Source organism: Homo sapiens, chromosome 9 (genome assembly GCF_000001405.40).
Source record: "Homo sapiens chromosome 9, GRCh38.p14 Primary Assembly".
NCBI lineage: Eukaryota > Metazoa > Chordata > Mammalia > Primates > Hominidae > Homo > Homo sapiens.
In genome coordinates this window covers 91,942,431-91,960,577 of record NC_000009.12, presented here as the reverse complement: position 1 = coordinate 91,960,577, position 18,147 = coordinate 91,942,431, and the positions used below count along the sequence as shown (strand labels likewise).

The following is an 18,147-nucleotide window of genomic DNA, read 5'->3' as shown; positions in this document are numbered from 1 at the left end:
GCAAAAGAACCACCCAGCTGAGCCCAGTCAACCCACAGAGTGTTGAGGCAATCATGAATTGTTTTAAGCTTTCAAGTGTTGAGATTTACTGCATGGCCATAGATAAGCGAAATACTGCAATAAACATCAACAGAACTTCCCTCCTTATCCTCTAAGTATACAGAGAACTAAATGACTAGGCCATTGGGCATGCAAATCAAGTCTTAATAAATTCTGTTGAGTTACACTCCAAAATGGCTGTATATCACTTTATATCCCCACCCACAATGATGAGGGGTACCAATTTCCCTTAAAATGTTTGCCAGTTAAAAAGTGGGATTTCAAGCTGGGCACAGTGGCCCATGCCTGTCATCCCAGCTATGCTGGAGGTTGAGGCCAGAAGATCATTCGAGCCCAGGAATTCAAAACCAGCCTGGGTGACATATCGAGAAAAAAAAAGACATTTCATTTCATTTTGCTTTTCTCTGATTACTAATCAAATTATTTGTTTTTCATATATTTACTAGATATTTGTGTTGACTTTTCTGTTAACTGCCTGTTGGAGAAGAGACAAACAGGATTGTCTTCTCCCTGCAGCTGACAACTGCAAGGTATTTATATACCTGCCCTGGCCAGGCCATGCCCATGTCCACAACAACCCTACTGTCATACACTTAGGTGGATGTCACCTATACCCTCCCAAAATCCTATTAAGAACAGAGAGAAGCAGGCTGGGCACGGTGGCCCACGCCTGTAATCCCAGCACTTTGGGAGGCCTACGCGGGTGGATCACCTGAGGTCAGGAGTTTGAGACCAGCCCGACCAACATGGAGAAACCCCATCTCTACTAAAAATACAAAATTAGCTGGGCGTGGTGGTGCATGCCTGTAATCCCAGCTACTTGGGAGGCTGAAGCAGGAGAATCACTTAAACCCGGGAGGTGGAGGTTGCAGTGAGCCAGGATCACACCATTGTGTTCCAGCCTAGGCAACAAGAGCGACACTCCAACAACAACAACAAAAAAAAACAAAAAACAAAGAGAAGCTGCATGCAGCCTGAGCACGCCTCTTCATGGGGTGATGAGAGCGGCAACATCATGTGATCATCCTGCTGAACTGTGATGGGAATTATAACCCGAAGTCTCTGTCTTGTCATAACTCCCTGTCACCTTCCATTTGAGGACTGCCTAAGTCCCAGAGAGGACCACTACATCTTACTAACAACAGTGCAGTAGGATGGCCTCATTTGCATATCTGTAAGACCCAAGAAACCTTGGGGGCGGCGGGGGGTGGTCTCAGAGCCAGCACATGTGCTAATCACAATTTCCATCAGCACATGAGGGTTTGCTGCTTGTGAAGACTTTAGGCTCCACTTACCTAAAGCTTGAAGATCCAGGTTTTTCTGGATGCTCTGGATCTTCTTCTTTTTTTTTTAATTACTTATTTATCTATTTGATTTATTTATTTATTTATTTATTTATTTATTTATTTATTTATTTATTTATTTTGAGATGGAGTCTCACTCTGTTGCCCAGCCTGGGATGCAGTGGCGCGATCTCGACTCACTATAACCTCTGCCTCCTGAGTTCAAGCGATTCTCCTGCCTCAGCCTCCTGAGTAGCTGGGACTACAGGCCACCACACCCGGCTAAATTTTGCATGTTTTAGTAGAGATGGGATTTCGTCGTATTGGCCAGGTTGGTCTTGAACTCCTGACCTCAGGTGATCCACCTGACTTAGCGTCCCAAAGTGCTGGGATTACAGGCTAGATCTCCTTCTGATGGAACCCTCAGAGTGGATCCAGTTTAGGGATGGCCTAGGCCACTTCCCAGAGAGCAAGAGCATCCATGTATACAAGGCAGCCCATGGACATCACTTGTACCCTCCTGGAGGGGAAGGAACTGTGGCCTTCTTCCCTAACACAAGGTGTGTGAGTGTGTGTGTGTGTGTGTGTGTGTGTGTTTGGTCTAGCTGAGATAATTTTATGTTAGACAATTTTTTATGTTTAGTAATTTTATAATGAGTGGTAATTTGAAAGGGCTACTACCTCTGGTCTGTGGCCATATATTACTTTCTATTAGTTTTCTGGGGCGACCGTAACAAAAGACCACAAAACTAAGTGGTTTAAACAAAAGAAACCTATTGTCTTACAGTGCTGGAGGCCAGCAGTCTGAGATCCGAGTGTTGGCCAGGCCATGCTCCCTCTGAAGGCTCTAGGGAGGGATGTGTTCCAGGCCTCTCTCCAGCTTTTGGACATTCCTTGGCTTATGGCAGCACAACTTTACTCTTCACGTGGTGTTCTCCCTATCTGTGCGCTTGCTTTGTGTCTGTCTCTTGGCCCAAATTTCCCCATTTCCTAAAGAAACCCAGTTGGATTAGGGCTCACCCTAGTGACCTCACCTTAACTTGATTATGTTTGCAAAGACTATTTGCAAATAACGTCACATTCATAGATACTGGGATTAGGACTTCAATAGCTTCCTGGGAAACACAATTCAACCCACAACATACATTAAAACCAGTGGGGTGGATGTAAGGCAGCTCACTGCAGGTTCCAGTGGCAGGTGGAGCCATCATTTTCTATATATTTTAGAGATTGTGTTAATCAAGAGAGTAGCTGTATGTCTAAGCATTGTCCAACAAAACTGGTGATTGCCAATCCATAGGAAATAGAGATTGTAACTGTGCTTTTGAGACCAGAAGCCAATTATTATTATTATTATTATTATTATATTTTTGAGACTGGGTCTCACTCTGTCACCCAGACTGGAGTGCAGTGGTGTGATAATGACTCATACAACCTCAAACTCTTGGACTCAAGCGATCCTCCTGCCTCAGCATCCCAAATAGCTGAGACCACAAGCGTGTGCTACTACACCTGGCTAATATTTTTTAATTTTTAGTAGAGACAGGGTTCTGCTATGTTGCCCAGGCTGGTCTCGAACTCTTGGGCTCAAATGATCCTCCTGCCTTGCTTCCCAAAGCACTGGGATTACAGGTGGTCACACCTGGCCTATGCATTATTATTATTATTATTATTATTATTATTTGAGACAGAGTCTTCTTTGTTGCCCAGGCTGGAGTGCAGTGGCACGATCTCAGCTCACTGCAACTCCCGCCTCCCAGGTTCAAGTGATCCTCCTGCCTTAGCCCCCCTAGTAGCTGGGATTATAGGCACACGCTACCATGTGCGGCTAATTTTTGTATTTTTAGTAGAGACGGGGTTTCACCATGGTGGCCAGCCTGGTCTCGAACTCCTGACCCCAGGTGATCCATCTGCCTCGATCTCCCAAAGTGCTGGGATTACAGGCGTGAGCCACTGCGCCCAGCCTACACATTATTTTTAAAGGGGATTTTGGAAGATATTATTGGCATGAAATCTTGCTGAACAAAAATCTTAGCGGCATTAGTATTTTAATCTAACAATCCTATAGTAGTAACCATGATGATATAAATACATCTATTATTTTTAGCTGTTCCATCAGGAAAAACCTGACCACATATGGGGTATATGGGAAGTATATATTTGGTCTTGGTTCTCAGTTCATAGCACATAGCCCCAAAACTCTTGGAGTTTCCTGAATGATCGTGTCTTTTGTCGTTGATAAGAACTCATTTAGACCATACCTGGGTTTATCTTAATAAGATGGTTTTGGGCTCGGGGCCTTAAATAACTTCGTATTAGGGGCTGGTCACCAGAAACAGCAAATCTTTATCAGAGGGTTGGAACTTTCAGCACACCTCCCCAACATCTGGGGAAGGGAGAGAAGCTGCAGACTGAGTCAAATCACCATGGCCAATGATATAATCAATCGTGCCTATGTAATGGAATCTTCATAAACACCCCTCACCTATGGGGCTGGGGGAGCTCTGGATTGGTGAGTGCACTGGGATACAGGGAGGGTGGTGTGCCTGGAGATGCACGGCAGCTCCATGCCTCCTAACACCAAACCTCAGCCTGTGCATCTCTTCCATATGGCTCTTCCTGACCGTGTCCCTATAATACACGGGCAATAGTAAGTAAGGTGTGCTCCTGAGTTCTGTGAGCTGTTCTAGCAAATTATCCCACTGAGGATGAGGTTGTGGGAACCCACGAATTTGTAGCAAGTCAGACAGAGGTGTAGGTAACCTGGGAACTCAGTACTTGGGGTTGGCATCTGACGTGGGGGTCAGTCTTGTGGAACTGAGCCTTTAAACTTGTCGAGTCTGCTCCTAAATCTGGATAGCTAGTGTCATAATAAAATGAAACTGCTGGGCACCCAGCTGATTTTGGGTGAATCAGAGAATTGGTGTTGGCAAAGATACCACATACTTGATTTCAAGAGAATTCTCAACACAATTAAGGAGATTAAGTCAGCCGAGCGCAGTGGCTCATGCCTGTAATCCCAGCACTTTGGGAGGCCGAGACAGGTGGATCACCTGAGGTCAGGAGTTCGAGACCAGCCTGGCCAACATGGTGAAACCCCGTCTCTACTAAAAATATAAAAACTAGTCGGGTGTGGTGGCGGGCACCTGTAATCCCAGGTACTCAGGAGGCTGAGGCAGGAAAATTGCTTGAACCCGGGAGGCAGAGGTTGCAGTGAGCCAAGATGGTGCCACTGCACTCCAGCTTGGGCAACAAAGAGTGAATACTCCATCTAAAAAAAAAAAAGATTGGAAATTTAAGATAAAGTTTCTTTTTTTTTTTTTTCTTTTTTGAGACGGAGTCTTGCTCTGTCACCCAGGCTGGACTCCAGTGGCACCATCTCAGCTCACTGCAACCTCCGCCTCCCGGGTTCAAGCAATTCTCCTGCCTCAGCCTCCCAGTAGCTGGGTTCATAGGTGTGCACCAGCATGTCCAGCTAATTTTTGTATTTTTAGTACAGGCGGGGTTTTGCTATGTTGGGCAAGCTGGTTTTGAACTCCTGACCTTAGGTGATCTGCCCGCCTTGGCCTCCCAAAGTGCTGGGATCACAGGCATGAGCCACTGCGCCCGGCCAAAATTTCTTTATTATAATGACTACTGCACTCAAGCCTTGTGAACTTCTAAAGTTTGTAGCTATTGGTGAAAACAAGAATCCTTGTTTTATTATTCCTGAATCTGAATTTTTGGAAACAAGAAAGCCTGAATAGCTTAAACAGCTGTACACACAAATATATGGTTTGAGGTAAAATTTACTTTACAAAAGCCCCATGTTTCTGGATAATGAATAATTTCAGGATGAGTCTACACTTCAGTCATGTAAGTGGGAAATGGAGAGACCGCCAGCATCATTAAGAAAGAATCTGCTGTACATTAGAGGGAAAGACAGCAGACTGGGAAATAAAAGAATTTATTCTATTTGCCCTAAATCAGAGCTCAACATGTCAGCATTTTTCTGCCTTCCTCTCTTCCTTTTATCCACAAATACACTGCTGGCACATTACAGGCATTGCTGGGGACATGCCAGTCTCTTCCTTGTGGAGTTTCAGGTCGGCAGGGAACACAGACTTCAGTTCAGTGAGCATGCAGAGCACAGTGGTCTGTGCTCAGGTGGGTTTCCGTGGAGCCCTGCCCCACTGTGGGGTGAGGACAACAGAGAAGGCATTTCCAAGGAAGTGGCATCCACAGGGATGAGACAAAGTCGTTTGAGTGAAGGGAGTGAGCGAGAGCATGCTGTAGGCAGAAAGAACTGCTTGCTAAAGCGCCCCCTGGTGAAAGGGAGTTCATGCTTTCTATGTTTTTGAGAAAATGAAAGATCAGAATAGCTGGAAAGTAGAGAGCAAGAACATAGCACAGAATGGGCCTGAACAGGTAAGGAGGTGTCAGATCCCCAGGGCTATGAAAGATTTCAGGCTTTCACTTAGGAACAGGAGCAAGGCATTTGGCAGAAGCATCGTTAGCTTTAGTTTGAAGAGATCTTCCCATATATGGGTGGAGAGGAGACTGGAGCAGGTGGAAGCTAGAGATGGAAAGACTAGTTAGGAGGCTCTTCTCCAGGCAAACGAGACAAGCATCTCCGGCTAGGGTGATGGTGATAGAGAGAGAGGACGGGAGGCAGAGGGCATTGGGTGGAGACCAAAGGCCGTGATGCTAAGTGCACATAGGAGAGAGGGCAAGGAGGGGGTTGGGCTTCTGATCTTGTGGAACTACACGGATGATGGTGCCATCAAGTGCAGGAGGGAACGTGGGAAAAAGATGAGGTTTGGGGCAGGGTTTGGGGTAGGGCGATGTAGAGCTTGAGTCCATGATTTAAATAACTTGAGTTTGAGGTGCCATTGGGACAGTCATGTGGAAACGCCAGGCAGGCAGCTGCAAATGTAAGTTTGGAGGTCAGGGGAGCATGCCAGGCTGGAGTTACAGATTTAGGAGGTGCTGGGCACATAGGTGACATTGGAAGCCATGAGCTTGGAAGAGATTTCCCACCGGGAGAGTGTGGAGCAAGATGAGAGGATGGCAGAGGACCAAGACCAGCATAATCACCAAGTGGAAGAGGTTAAGGTGCAAAGAAGAACAAGGAGAAATGGCTAAATAAGTAGAAGCAAAACCAGGAGCTCTTGATATCATACAAGCCGAGGGAAAACATGTTTTGAAGAGGGAATGGTCTAGGGTAAAATGCTGCAGAGAGACTGCGTGAGAGAAGAACAAAAATGTATGTTGGTTCAGTACATGGATGACCACACCCAGCTGCTTGTGTGGATTCAGGGTGGCAGACTGGCAAGGAGTGTGGAGTGAGGAAATGAAGCCATTGTGTTTGACACGTCTGGCGATTTATCTTGTTTGCAGTGGGATATTTGTAGAGCTCCCTGCTAGTGGAGCAGAAGGGTACAATTCAGCTGAGGATTTCCTAACTGAAAAAGTAATAAGCAAGTGAAAAACTCTACCACACTGGTCTGCATGTATTCCTCACAAAAGCGCGGTGGGCCCAAGGCCTTGGACTGTAGTCACCTACTTTCCACGTCCACGCAGTGAAGTTTGGTATGCCCAGATACTCCATATCGTTTTTTTTTTTTTTTTTGTAGCGGGGGAGGGGTCTGATTTGGTATTTATTGAAACTCAAAAAGCACTACCTACAAATGAAAGAATGGATAAACTGGACTTCAGCAGAATGAAAAACCGCAACTTATGAAAAGACATCATTAAAAAAATGAAAACTAGCCAGAAACTGGAAGAAAATATATCTGTCTCTTTGAGTTTTCACTCAGAACATACAAAAAAGAGCTCTAAAAACTTTTTTTTGTTTTGTTTTGGAGACAGGATCTCACTCTGCAGCCCAGGCTGGAGTGCAGTTGTGCAATCATAGCTCACTGCAGCCTCGTACTCCTTGGGCCCAGGTGATCCTCCCATCTCAGCCTCCCGAGTAGCTGGGACTACAGACGCTCACCACCATTCCTGGCTAATTTTAAATTATTGTTTGTAGAGACAAGCTCTCACTATGTTGCCCAGGCTGGTCTCGAACCCTTAGGCTCAAGTGATCCTCCCACCTCGGCCTCCCAAAGTATAGGGATTAGAGGCAAAAGCCACCATGCCTGGGCAACACTTGAAAAGAAGAAGGCATCCAACCTTATGAAAAAATCAGAGAAGAAAAGAAATTCCATGATTTGAGGGAGACAAAGAATAAAAATAAAAATAAATCAGCAAAAATTTGACTAGACATCTGACAAAAGAAGGTAGGCTAACGGCCAATAAGCATAAGAAAAAATATAGAATATGACTCCTCATCAGGAAAATGTGAATTAAACCACATAATTTAACCACCCAGGTCTCAGATATCCCAGGATACCCCTGGCCTTGAAATCTTCACACTGGCTCTTCACTCCAGCTCAAATACTCTTCCCAGATATGTGCATGGCTCCCTCCTTTCTTAAGGCCTGCAAGGGCTTGTTCCCGCCGGTCTTGCTAGTATAGACCCTGCTCATTTTCTCTCCCTCTTGCTTGCTGTTCATCACAAGGATGAAAATGGCTGTCCCCATACAGCTGGTGTGGTGTCAGCCTCCAGTGATTCCTATCTCTTGGTATATATAAACCTGTTTAGTTTCCTTCTATGACAAAGGGCCCACCCATGGAGCCAATAGATACTGCAGAAATTATGGCATGTGACTTCCAAGGCTAGGCTATAAAAGACACTGTGGCTTCTATCTGGCTCTCTTTTGGATTGCTCACTTTGGGAGAAGCTAGAAGCCATCTTGTGAGGATGCCCAAGAAGCCCACGTGGCTACAAACTGAGTCTTCCCATCCACACCTAGCACTAACTTGCTGAGCATGTGAGTAATCCACCTTGTGAGACTCCTCTAGCCCCAGCGAGCCTTCAGATAATGGCAGCACTGGCTGACATCTGACTGCAACCTCCTGAGAGACCCTGAGCCAGCACCATCTAGCTAAGTCTCTCCTGCCTTCTCGACCCAGAGAAATGGTGTGAAATAACGAATGTTTACTGTTTTTAGCTGTTAAATCGTGGGGCAATTTGTTATGTGGCAATTGATGACTAATACAGATGGAAAGGAATATGTTGCTCCAATTTGGCCTTGGACGTAAGCCATATTCTCTTAACCACTGAGAAAGCTTGTATTTTCATCCTTCCAACTTTGCTTTTTTTGTTTATCCTTCAGTTCAGAACCTACAGAAAGGGAAGGAGAGAGTGAGAGAGAAATGCCAAAAAAGAAAGCTTTAAAAGGCTTTTAAGAAATCATATGCAATATAACCCACATTTCTGACTCCACCCAAGAAACTGTCAGCAAAATATATGTTGCTGTTTAAACCTTTGAGTTGGGTTTGTGGGGCCTCAGTCATGTGAAAATAACACACAGATGGGGGCATGATGAGGTCATTTTCCTGAAGGTCACACAAAAATAAATGGCAGGGCTGCTGATGAAATGGTTCTGGAGCCACATGCTCACGCTGTGTGAAGTGGAAAGCAAAGGTGCTGGGACCACCTTCTCCGAGCTGCACAGCACCACGGAAAGGACACAGCATTGCTGAGGGAGGGGTTTTCCAGGGCAGGTTCAAGACCCTTCTCTGCAGCCCCTGTTGGGTTTTCCCTAGATCCAGAAGAGAGGGGTGTGGAACTAAGTGCTTCAGCACCTACTCTTAAAACATTACTCTAAAAGCATCCTTAAGGATTCTAAGGGAAGCTAAAGGGAGGAAAACCCCAAAGATAAACCCCTGGCAGTCCTCTAACCACTGGGGAGAGCAGCCCCCCCGTTCAGACCCGCACCAGCCTGGGCAGAGGAACAGCCTGAGCCCGTCTAAGAAGTTTGGTAATAATTTTGCCATCCAGTTGAGGAGGGGCTAGGATCTTCTCCCATTCTCCTACTGGATTTACAGCAGCTCCTGGGAATGAGAACTGCGTGAGATATTTCCCTACACAAATTGGGTAGAGATAGCCGGACGCCTAAATACTTTTAACAGAGGTAACAAGCTAGAGCTGGCTTAGTCATTTTGTCCGCAGACCATAGCAAGAGAGTTTTTATTTCTGGCCACGTCTGAGGCCTCACGTCTGGCACCCAAGGCCAGGGCTCTCCCTAATGCCCTCCAATTAACAGAGCTTGGTACTCCAGCAAAAACACCAAACAAACTGCTGGATAATCAGTTAAAAGATCAATCTCATGGAACAAGCAACTGAGATGCTGGAGAATCCAATTCCTTCCTCTAAGAGGAAAAACAAAGACATTTGCATGTGCTGAGCAAAACCAAGAATAAGCAAGAAAACATGCTATTTGAATTCCGTTCAAAATGTCTCTAATAAGTGAAGCAAATTCTGCACATTCTGGGCCTCTGCAGAGAACAAATAGTGTTCTGCCTTTAATGGGTAAAATTATACAATTTGCTTTTAACAGTAAACCAAAAGCCGCGGTGGCTTCGGATAGCATCGCGCTCCCGAGGGCTCCCTCCACGCAGCTCGACCCCTGGCAGTTTTGAGCATTTCGGGGGACGCGCTTGTCCCCACCGACCTGGGAGGGCGCCGGTGCCAAGGCGGCCTGTTTGTTTTCCTGAACATTTCCTTTTGCAACTTTCGCTTCTCCTCTTCCTGCCTCACCGCTGGTGTCTGGGGCTGGGTGGCTCTCAGATTTGTCCCGGTGCGCAGTGCAGCCTGGAGTTACTGATTTGTGACCTAGATCCCCGGGTGTGTCGCCCCCGAAAGTCGGGGGCACCCGCTCTGGGCGCCTCTCCTGCGTGGGCAGACCCGCCGAACTCCGGCTGACGCCCCCAAGGCGCCACCTTTGTGTTCAAGCGTTCCGAGGCGCAGGCCCGAGGGCGGGCGCAGGAGGCAGGTCCGGGGCCCCAGCTGCAGCCCCAGCTCCTTGGGTCCCGCCCGCCGCCCGCGCGTTCCCCCGGCAGGGGGCGCCGGCGCAAGCCTCGCTCTGCCCATCGGGGCGGGCGAGCGGGGACCCTGCCTCCTGCGCGCTCGCCCGCGGTCCGCCCCCCGCGCTCGTCCTGGCGGCCGGCGGGACGCCCCAGCCCGCGCCAAGGAACCTCCCCAGCCAGCCCTTGCCGTGGCCGGAGCCGAGCGGCGCATCCGGGCCGGAGAAGAGGACGACGACGAGGTCCTCGAAGTGGACCCGTTTGCGAAGCGCCAGGGAGAAGGAGGAGCGGACGCATCGTAGAAAGGGGTGGTGGCGCCCGACCCCGCGCCCCGGCCCGAAGCTCTGAGGGCTTCCCGGCCCCCACTGCCTGCGGCATGGCCCGGGGCTCGGCGCTCCCGCGGCGGCCGCTGCTGTGCATCCCGGCCGTCTGGGCGGCCGCCGCGCTTCTGCTCTCAGTGTCCCGGACTTCAGGTAGGATCTGGCGTTCCGGCTTGTGCGCAGACGGTAGCTCACGGCTCGCTTGGCCAGCCCTTCCGCCGCCACTATGCTCCCGGCCGCTGCGCCGGCGCCCATGCTCCTGAACGAGGGGCGCCAGGCAGGGCCATTCGCATCTCGCCCGACGCCGCTCCCGGCCCGCACCCCGGACCCCCTCGGGCTGGTTACAATAAGCCGCGCTCTGGGGACGCCTAAGTGTTTCCAGAGTCTGGGGGCGGGCGGCGGCGGCTGGGAGCCTCTCGGTGGCGCTTCCCGAGGGTCGCGAGTGGGAGTGCGAGTGTGAATGTGAGTACCCGCCCTGGGCCCGGGACCCGAGTCCGCAGATGTGCCCCGAGGGTCCCAGGACCCGGGCTTCCTCCCCGAGGTCTTCCTCCTTCAAGGGCACACGGCCCCGAGTGTCCCCCGTCTGTCTCGGAGCGTCCCCCCACCCCCAGGGCGGCCTGATGCCTGGCAGAATCCTGGGGTGGACGTGGCCCCGGAGAAGCGGCTCTTGCGGCGGGGGTGGGGGCGCCGGCGGCTCCCGGGTCCTGACTTTCCCAGCCCGCGGGCCGCTTGATGGAAACGGGCTCTTTGGCATCCCTTTTGTTGGTCCCTGAAACCTCCTCTCCCCCACCGCTCTGGGGTGGCCGAAGTGGTGTGTGATCTGGATTGAAATGGTTTGTGACTGGGATCGCGGGTCCCTGAGCGGCTGGGGCGCGGCCGCCTTCTGGCCGCGCCGGGGGGACCCCCGGGACCTGTAGGAGGCTGGCGGCGGGAGGGGCGGGGCCCGGCTCCTAGGTGGGTTTCCTCCCGGGGCCCCACTTCCCCCGAGTCCCTGCGCGGTTTCGGCTGCTTGGATCCGGGGCGCAGAGGAACGGCGGGGAGGTTCGGAAGTGCAGCTTGGGACCTGCCTAGGTTGCCTGGAGGAGGCGGCGTTAGCTCTGGCGGTGCAGACTCCGGGAGCACCTCCCGCCCGCGCGCCTCGGGCCGGATTCTCGGCACCCTGCGGGGGTGGAGGAGGGCGGGCGGGGCCTTCAGGCCCAGGAGCGCCAGAGACCTATGGGGTTCGCCTGAAGCCCCCGGAATGTGTGAGACACTTCTTACTAGTAAATGGGCTTCAGTATCCCCCATCCCTGCACTCCTGCAGGAAGGTGAGAATCGGGACAGTCGCAGGCTGGGAGACGCTCTGCTTTTCCTGCGTCCTGCTGGGAGCTGCGCGCTCCAGGTATCCTGGCCTGCCGCCCTAGCCGGCCCAAGGTACGCGAGTCAGAAAGGCTGCACAGTCTTTCCTGGGGGGGGGTTTTAGTTTAAGCAGATGTTGATTACGTCAGACATTCCTAATTACTTGATTTGGGAAGGGAGCTTGCGTTTATCTCACTGTGCATTAAAGCATAAACCGCTCAGAGTGCACAATAAAATAAGTAGACCACATTCTAAGTTGGTATCCATCACTCAAGACCTCTGTCGATTTCTGCAACCCCTCCCCCAAGAATCTCCCAGGAGATCCCTTTGCTGGGGGAGAGGGGTGGCGGGGAGGCGGCTTAAACACGTTGCTGGACGTGCTGTTGGGCGGCTTTTGCTGTTCACCCTGCGGTTAATTGTCCTACAAAAACTCTGCCTTGCAGACCATGAGGGTTGAGCGCAGCCTTTGAGGGGCGGTGCTGTGGTGGGGGTTTTTAGATGGGTGATGAGGAAAGCATGATGGGTCCATTGCTTAAGCCAAGGTGGTTGTAACAGGAAAGTTCCTTGAGTTTTGGGTGAAGGAATTTAAACACTCATAGTTTCCAGTGAATGTACAAATGTCTTATATGAACAAAGCAATTGGAGTCGTTTTCTTTAATTTTTGAACCCTGTTCTTTTTCTAGTGAAATACTCATAATCTTTATAGGAGAGGGCATAGGATATAATTCTCTTCGTTCTGTATGGCTAGGTTAACAAAATCCAAAGAGTATGATAATTTTTATTCAAAATAATAATAAAATTATATGATTACAGGAGATTTGAGTGTTTGGGATCTTTTCTGCTGTGAAAAGAGGAGTCCCTGTTATTTGAGTGTGTTTTATCCACGAAATAATTTATTATGTAAAACTATTTAGGGGTTTTTCTAAAAGGATTTGTAAGTTCTTATTCCACATTTTAATAGCAAGACTCTGTTTCCTCTGATGACAAATACTGATTTGGGACTATATACCAATCCTAGGTAGGGTAGGTGGGGAACGATGGAGCATTAGGGTCCCCCCAGCCCCCATTTTTGGCAGTGTAGTGTTTACTTTTGGCCCAGATCCCTGGAGTGATGGTGGTAATAAATAATGATAGTGATCCGTCTAGAAGAAATCCATCTAGAAGAAAATAAATGGAAACATCTTGAATAAGAAGACTTTGTGGAAAAAGAAAAGTTTTTATGTATATAGTAAGGCAACATATTTTTCTTATTACGGCTGTGTACCAAGCACAGAGCTACACATTTGAAATTTTTCAGTATAATTGTGAGATCCTGCTTAACTCTCATGTCCACTTCATAAAGCATGTCACCCTGAAAATCTGATCGCCGTGGACCCTATGTGACACTCAGTGTAACTGAGAGGGCTCTGGAAAGCCAAGCTGAACTTTTAATTAGTAAAGCAAATCATGGAAAACTGACAAGTCTGCTTTATATTTTATATGTAAAAAAGCAACATGGGTTTTTTAAAATGTGCGTTTTCCAGGGGTAGTTTTTGGTGACTGCTCTGCAGATTTTTAAGGCAATGTTAAACAACATTTTTATTTTTATTGTGAAACCTTTTTTTTATTGTTTATTCAAAGTGCTGCTGTAATTGGTGTTTGTATGTCTCTCTCTTAAGTGTGGTTTGCAGTGAATCACTTGTTGCCCCTTAAACAGTTAGCCTGGATTTAACCTCCAAGAGATTAAGTCTGGCAGAGTCTGAATTTTACACTGCTCTTTTCTTTGGAAGCTCTTCTGAAATCAGTGGAATAGAAATACAGGGGTACGAACAGCTCATCTGACAGGTAGGGAAGATTAATCCCCTTTAGAAAGGTTTCAGCTGGTGGACTGGCACTCCTTTAAAATGCATTCCCTGAGAGGCCAGGATGGGAAAAGTTATTAGTGAAATGGGAACTGGATGTGAAGGACTTGAGCTCCCTAATCTGCAGGACCTGGCTAGTCTGTTGTAGTGCTGGAAATTTGTGTACTCTTTGTAATCCTTTCCCTTGGAGAGTTCTAATTATATAATTCCACATTGTAGTCAGGGAAAAGAAAGTTAACGCTACAAACTGTTACTCCTTCCCAGGGTTTATAACCATCTTCTAAAATGGTTCCTTGATGACAGGCCTTTCCTTTTGGTGTTTATCTGGTTCATTCCCTGGGAACCTGGAGGGGACACTGTGAAGGACTCCCTCCTCCTCCTCTTCCACACCCCATCAGCGTCTTGTGGTTTCCACGTGGTGAAGGGCTGGGCAGCCCAATTTTGGGTTTACCTTGAGGTGCCTCCTTGGGGGCTCCTCGGGGCGGGCTCTTCCTTGCTCTTGCCCATTGGTTGTGACTCCATACATTGTCATTAGGATATTTCCTTTTTGGGAGCCCCGTGGTGACCACCAAGTGGAGAATACCAAGCATGTAAGGTTTCAAAGTAAAGAAACCAGGGGGCTTTGTTTTGCAGTGGAAGCATTGCTAGCTAGGTCTGGATTTTTATTGGTTGCACCCCAGCTGCATGGCCAATAGCAATTTCATGAAGGGACTGTTGGGTTGAAGGGACTGGCTTTGAAAACATTACTTCTCAGTGACCCTTTGGGCTCTTAGGTTCTGCTTTGCCCCACAACACCACCATAACACTGTTGAGGCTTTCAGTGGGTAGTGTGGGCTTCTTGAGTTTTGAAAGTAAAAATCCAAGCAACAAGAGGCGCTCCAGCCCATTAATTATAGCTGCAACTGGCCGGGGTTTTGTAGCAGCCGCCTTTTTCTAGCATGTATTTATTTGGTTTTGTTGAAGAGCTTGCCAAGTTGGAAACGAGGGCGGGACAGCTTTGCTTGCGTGTGCAGTTGTCATAAAATATGTCTGGGGTGTAATCTGTTTAAAATCATATTCGTAGAGTGGCCAAAGAATTGTTGAACAGTGTTGGGAATTTTCATAAAGCTTTTACAAAATAGGGAATTTTATTGGTGTGGTTGGCACTGTTTTTGGGATTTCTGTGGGTGTTTTCTTTTTAAGTCCTATCTCTGAAAAAAGCAAAAAACTCAAAAGCTAAAGGGAAGGAAATAATTACAGAAAAATGTAGCTTAATTCGACTAAGTAGCTTGGTCCTCTAGAAATCCTTAAGTTCTAGTGGGAAGTGGTGTGTATGTCTTTAATTGTCGCTGGAATGAGCTTCAGTAAGCACTCTGTCACTTTCTAGATGTTATCAGAGGAGAATGTGGCGGCTGCTTCAAGTCCTCCTGGAGTGGGGGAGGGTTCCCCTAAATCCCAAATACTCCTAGCCTAATGGTTTCCACACCCTCCTGGAGGGATAGTTAACACAATGGGCAGTTAAAATAAGGAAATGTTTAGGCCTGAACTCCTCATTGTAGGCTTGTGCTGTGGAATATAGTAGCCACCAGGCACACACAGCTATATAAGTTAAAATTAATTAAAATTAAAAGAAATTAAAGATTCACTTCCTCCCCTTCACTGGCTTCATTTCAGGTGTCAGTAGCCACAAATTGCTATGCAAAAATGTCACTGGGATTTTAGTAGAGGTTGCATTGAATTGGTAGATGGATCTGAGTAGTATTAACTTTTTTTTTTTTTTTTGAGTTAAGGTCTTGCTCTGTCACCCAGGCTGGAGTGCAGTGGTGCAAACACGGCTCACTACCTCTGGCCTTAACCTCCTGGGCTAAGCCTCTACCTCCTGGGCTCAAGTTATCCTCCCATCTTAGCCTCTGAAGTAGCTGGAACCACAGGCACGCGCTACCGTGCCTGGCTAATTCTTTGATTTTTTTTCGTAGAGATGGAGGTCCACTTGTGTTGCCCAGGCTGGTCTTGAACTCCTGGGCTGAAGGGATTCCCCACCCCCACCCCAGTCCTGGGATCGTAGGCATGAGCCACCTCACTGGCCATCATCTTAACAGTATTGTCTTCCTGTCCATAAACACAGGATGTCTTAACATTTATTTAGACCTTTCATTTCTTTCAGCAATGTTTTTTAGTTTTTAGTGTATGAGTCTTTTGCCTCTTAAGTTAAATCTATTCCTGAGTATTTTATTCTTTTCGAGCTGTTGTAATTGGAATTGTGTTTTTTAAATTTCCTTTTCACATTGCCCACTGTTAGTGCACAGAAATGTAACATTTTTGTGTGTTGATTTTCTAACCTGCAAGCTTGTGGAATTTGCTTATTAGCTCAAATAGCATTTTTGTAGCTCTTATTCTGTATGTAAAGTCGTATCATCTACAAATAGGCATAATTTTACTTCTTCCTTTACAATTTGGATGCCTTTTATTATTTTTGGTCTTGCCTAATTGCTCAGCCTGGAACTTCCAATACAGTCATGGGCCAAATAATGATGTTTTCAGACGATGGACCACCTATATGACAGTGGTCCCATAAGATAACACTACTGTATATGACTGTGCCTTTTATATGGTTAGATACACAAATGCTTCCCATCCTGTTACAGTTGCCTACAGTATTCAGTACAGCCACATGCTGTATAGGTTTGTTGTAGCCTAGGAGAAGTAGGCTACACCACATAGCCTAGGTGTGCAGTTTGTGTGAGGGACACTCTATGATGTTCATATGATGATGAAATTGCCCAGGGACACATTTCCCAGAATGTATCGTCATCGTTGAGCAACGCATGACTGTACTGTGTTGAATAGAAGAGGTGAAAATGGGCATTCTTGTCTTGTTCCTGATCTTGGAGGAAAAGCTTTCAGTCTTTTAACATTGAGTGTGATGTTTGCTGGGCTTGTCGTATATGGCTTTTACTATGTTGAGGTGGTTTCCTTTCTATTAGTTTATTCTCATTTTTTGGTATATTTTTGACTTTTAGAACATGCTAACATTCTACAAGTTCAAAAAATAAATCACTAAGAATAGCAGGAAACTAGAATTGAATACAAAGAAGCACATAAATGCAAATGTGTTGCAAATGAGTAACATGACTACACAGATGGGGGAAAAGAAACCGTAATGTTGGACTCAGTGCTTTGACGGTGTATCCTCAGCCTACAGGAGAAACAACAACCTGAAAGCAAAACTGGCACCCTTCTTAGTAGGTTTGATTTTCATAGTGGTGTGGGTATATCCATTCTGAAATGACTTTGTGTGAATTGTGAGATTAGACAGATAAGAAGTGTGTTAATAGTGTTGTAGCCAGGGTGCTCACTGAGGAAGGAGGGAGATATAAGGATGGAATAGGGGAAGGCAAGGAAGAATCTGGAGGGGTTGAATTGGAATTGGAGGTATCAGTGTAACTCATGCTTTCATTTATATATATATTTGGTATATATTATGTTAAATTATGCACCGTAATTTGTAAAACATACTCTACACATAACAGTTATTTCTTAGCACCTCATTAGCAGTGAGCTTTCTTAGTGCCCAGATGTTGGTTTCTCAATACTGTTGCATCTTAAAGGAGCTAGAGAACCTTGGAGAAATGACTGAATATGGGATGGGGACAGGGAAAAATACACAATAAGCCTGAAACGTGTTCTTGTGTTAGAACGCAAGTGAGTGGTGAAAAGTGGTGGGGGCATGGCAGATGTACTCAGGGGCCAACTTGAAGGAGTTGCAGCCAAGTCTGGGACCATTTAGGCATCAGAATAAATAAAGACAAGCATGGATTATACAAGGAACAAAATAGGCATCCAGGACTCACCATTGATAATAAGTACATAACTATATGTATGAGTTTCTTAGGCCTGCTGTAGCAAAATGCCATAAACGGGGTGACCTAAAAACCAGAAATGTATTCTCCCACAGTTTTAGAGGCTAGAAGTCCAAAATCAAGGTGGCGGCAGGGCCACGATCCCTCCCAGGGCTCTAGGGGAGAAAACTTTTTTGCCTCTTTTAGTTCCTGGTGGCTCATGGTGCCCTTGGTTTGGAGCTATATCACTTTGACTTCTATCGCCATTTTCACATGACCTTTTATTGTAAGGACACCAGTGATTGGATTTAGGGACCACTGTAAATACAGGATGATTTAATCTCATGTTCCTTATTACTACTGGAAAGACTATTTCCAAATAAGGTCACTTTCTGAGCTTCTGGGTGGATAGGGAAACACTAATTTACTACAAAACCTAAGTGGGAGGGGTGGGGAAGAGAGGGCACTTCCTAGAGCAAAGTGCCAACTGATAAATGGGAGGCGAGTTGGGAATAATCACATTTTACAGCAATAACTGTACGGATTGATTTGGGCAGGCGTCATGAATGAGTGCTAAACTCATTAAAGAAGA

At 47.1% G+C, this 18,147-nt stretch overlaps 1 protein-coding gene across 6 annotated transcripts in view, besides 6 other annotated features; it reads left to right on the top strand.

The window, feature by feature from the left end:
- Positions 5,477-5,771: an enhancer, noted in NCBI's record as "tiled region #9366; K562 Activating DNase unmatched - State 5:Enh". NCBI's record gives its function as "activates a minimal TATA promoter and a strong SV40 promoter by Sharpr-MPRA in K562 cells {active_cell/tissue: K562}" and the evidence as "EXISTENCE:reporter gene assay evidence [ECO:0000049][PMID:27701403]".
- Positions 9,777-10,071: a silencer, noted in NCBI's record as "tiled region #183; K562 Repressive non-DNase unmatched - State 1:Tss". NCBI's record gives its function as "represses a minimal TATA promoter and a strong SV40 promoter by Sharpr-MPRA in K562 cells {active_cell/tissue: K562}" and the evidence as "EXISTENCE:reporter gene assay evidence [ECO:0000049][PMID:27701403]".
- Positions 10,185-10,364: a silencer, noted in NCBI's record as "silent region_20028". NCBI's record gives its function as "represses an Ori minimal core promoter by ATAC-STARR-seq in GM12878 lymphoblastoid cells {active_cell/tissue: GM12878}" and the evidence as "EXISTENCE:reporter gene assay evidence [ECO:0000049][PMID:35858748]".
- The window catches only part of ROR2 (receptor tyrosine kinase like orphan receptor 2), a 227,628-nt gene continuing 219,830 nt past the window's right edge, over positions 10,350-18,147 (top strand). For 4 of the 6 annotated variants that reach the window (XM_005252008.5, XM_047423436.1, XM_047423435.1 and 1 more), the window contains exon 1: positions 11,850-11,971. Coding sequence is in view for 2 of the 6 variants with exons in the window: in NM_004560.4 (NP_004551.2) it covers positions 10,615-10,711 (97 nt within the window). In the remaining 4 variants the exon portion in view is untranslated. Of the gene's footprint in view, positions 10,712-11,849; positions 11,972-18,147 lie in introns of those variants that run through there. The other 2 variants (NM_004560.4, NM_001318204.2) reach the window with 1 other exon arrangement.
- Positions 10,558-11,057: an enhancer, noted in NCBI's record as "H3K4me1 hESC enhancer chr9:94711803-94712302 (GRCh37/hg19 assembly coordinates)". NCBI's record gives its function as "activates a minimal SCP1, AML or CMV promoter by ChIP-STARR-seq in naive H9 embryonic stem cells {active_cell/tissue: H9 hESC(naive)}" and the evidence as "EXISTENCE:reporter gene assay evidence [ECO:0000049][PMID:30033119]".
- Positions 11,058-11,559: an enhancer, noted in NCBI's record as "H3K4me1 hESC enhancer chr9:94711301-94711802 (GRCh37/hg19 assembly coordinates)". NCBI's record gives its function as "activates a minimal SCP1, AML or CMV promoter by ChIP-STARR-seq in primed H9 embryonic stem cells {active_cell/tissue: H9 hESC(primed)}" and the evidence as "EXISTENCE:reporter gene assay evidence [ECO:0000049][PMID:30033119]".
- Positions 14,866-15,367: an enhancer, noted in NCBI's record as "NANOG hESC enhancer chr9:94707493-94707994 (GRCh37/hg19 assembly coordinates)". NCBI's record gives its function as "activates a minimal SCP1, AML or CMV promoter by ChIP-STARR-seq in primed H9 embryonic stem cells {active_cell/tissue: H9 hESC(primed)}" and the evidence as "EXISTENCE:reporter gene assay evidence [ECO:0000049][PMID:30033119]".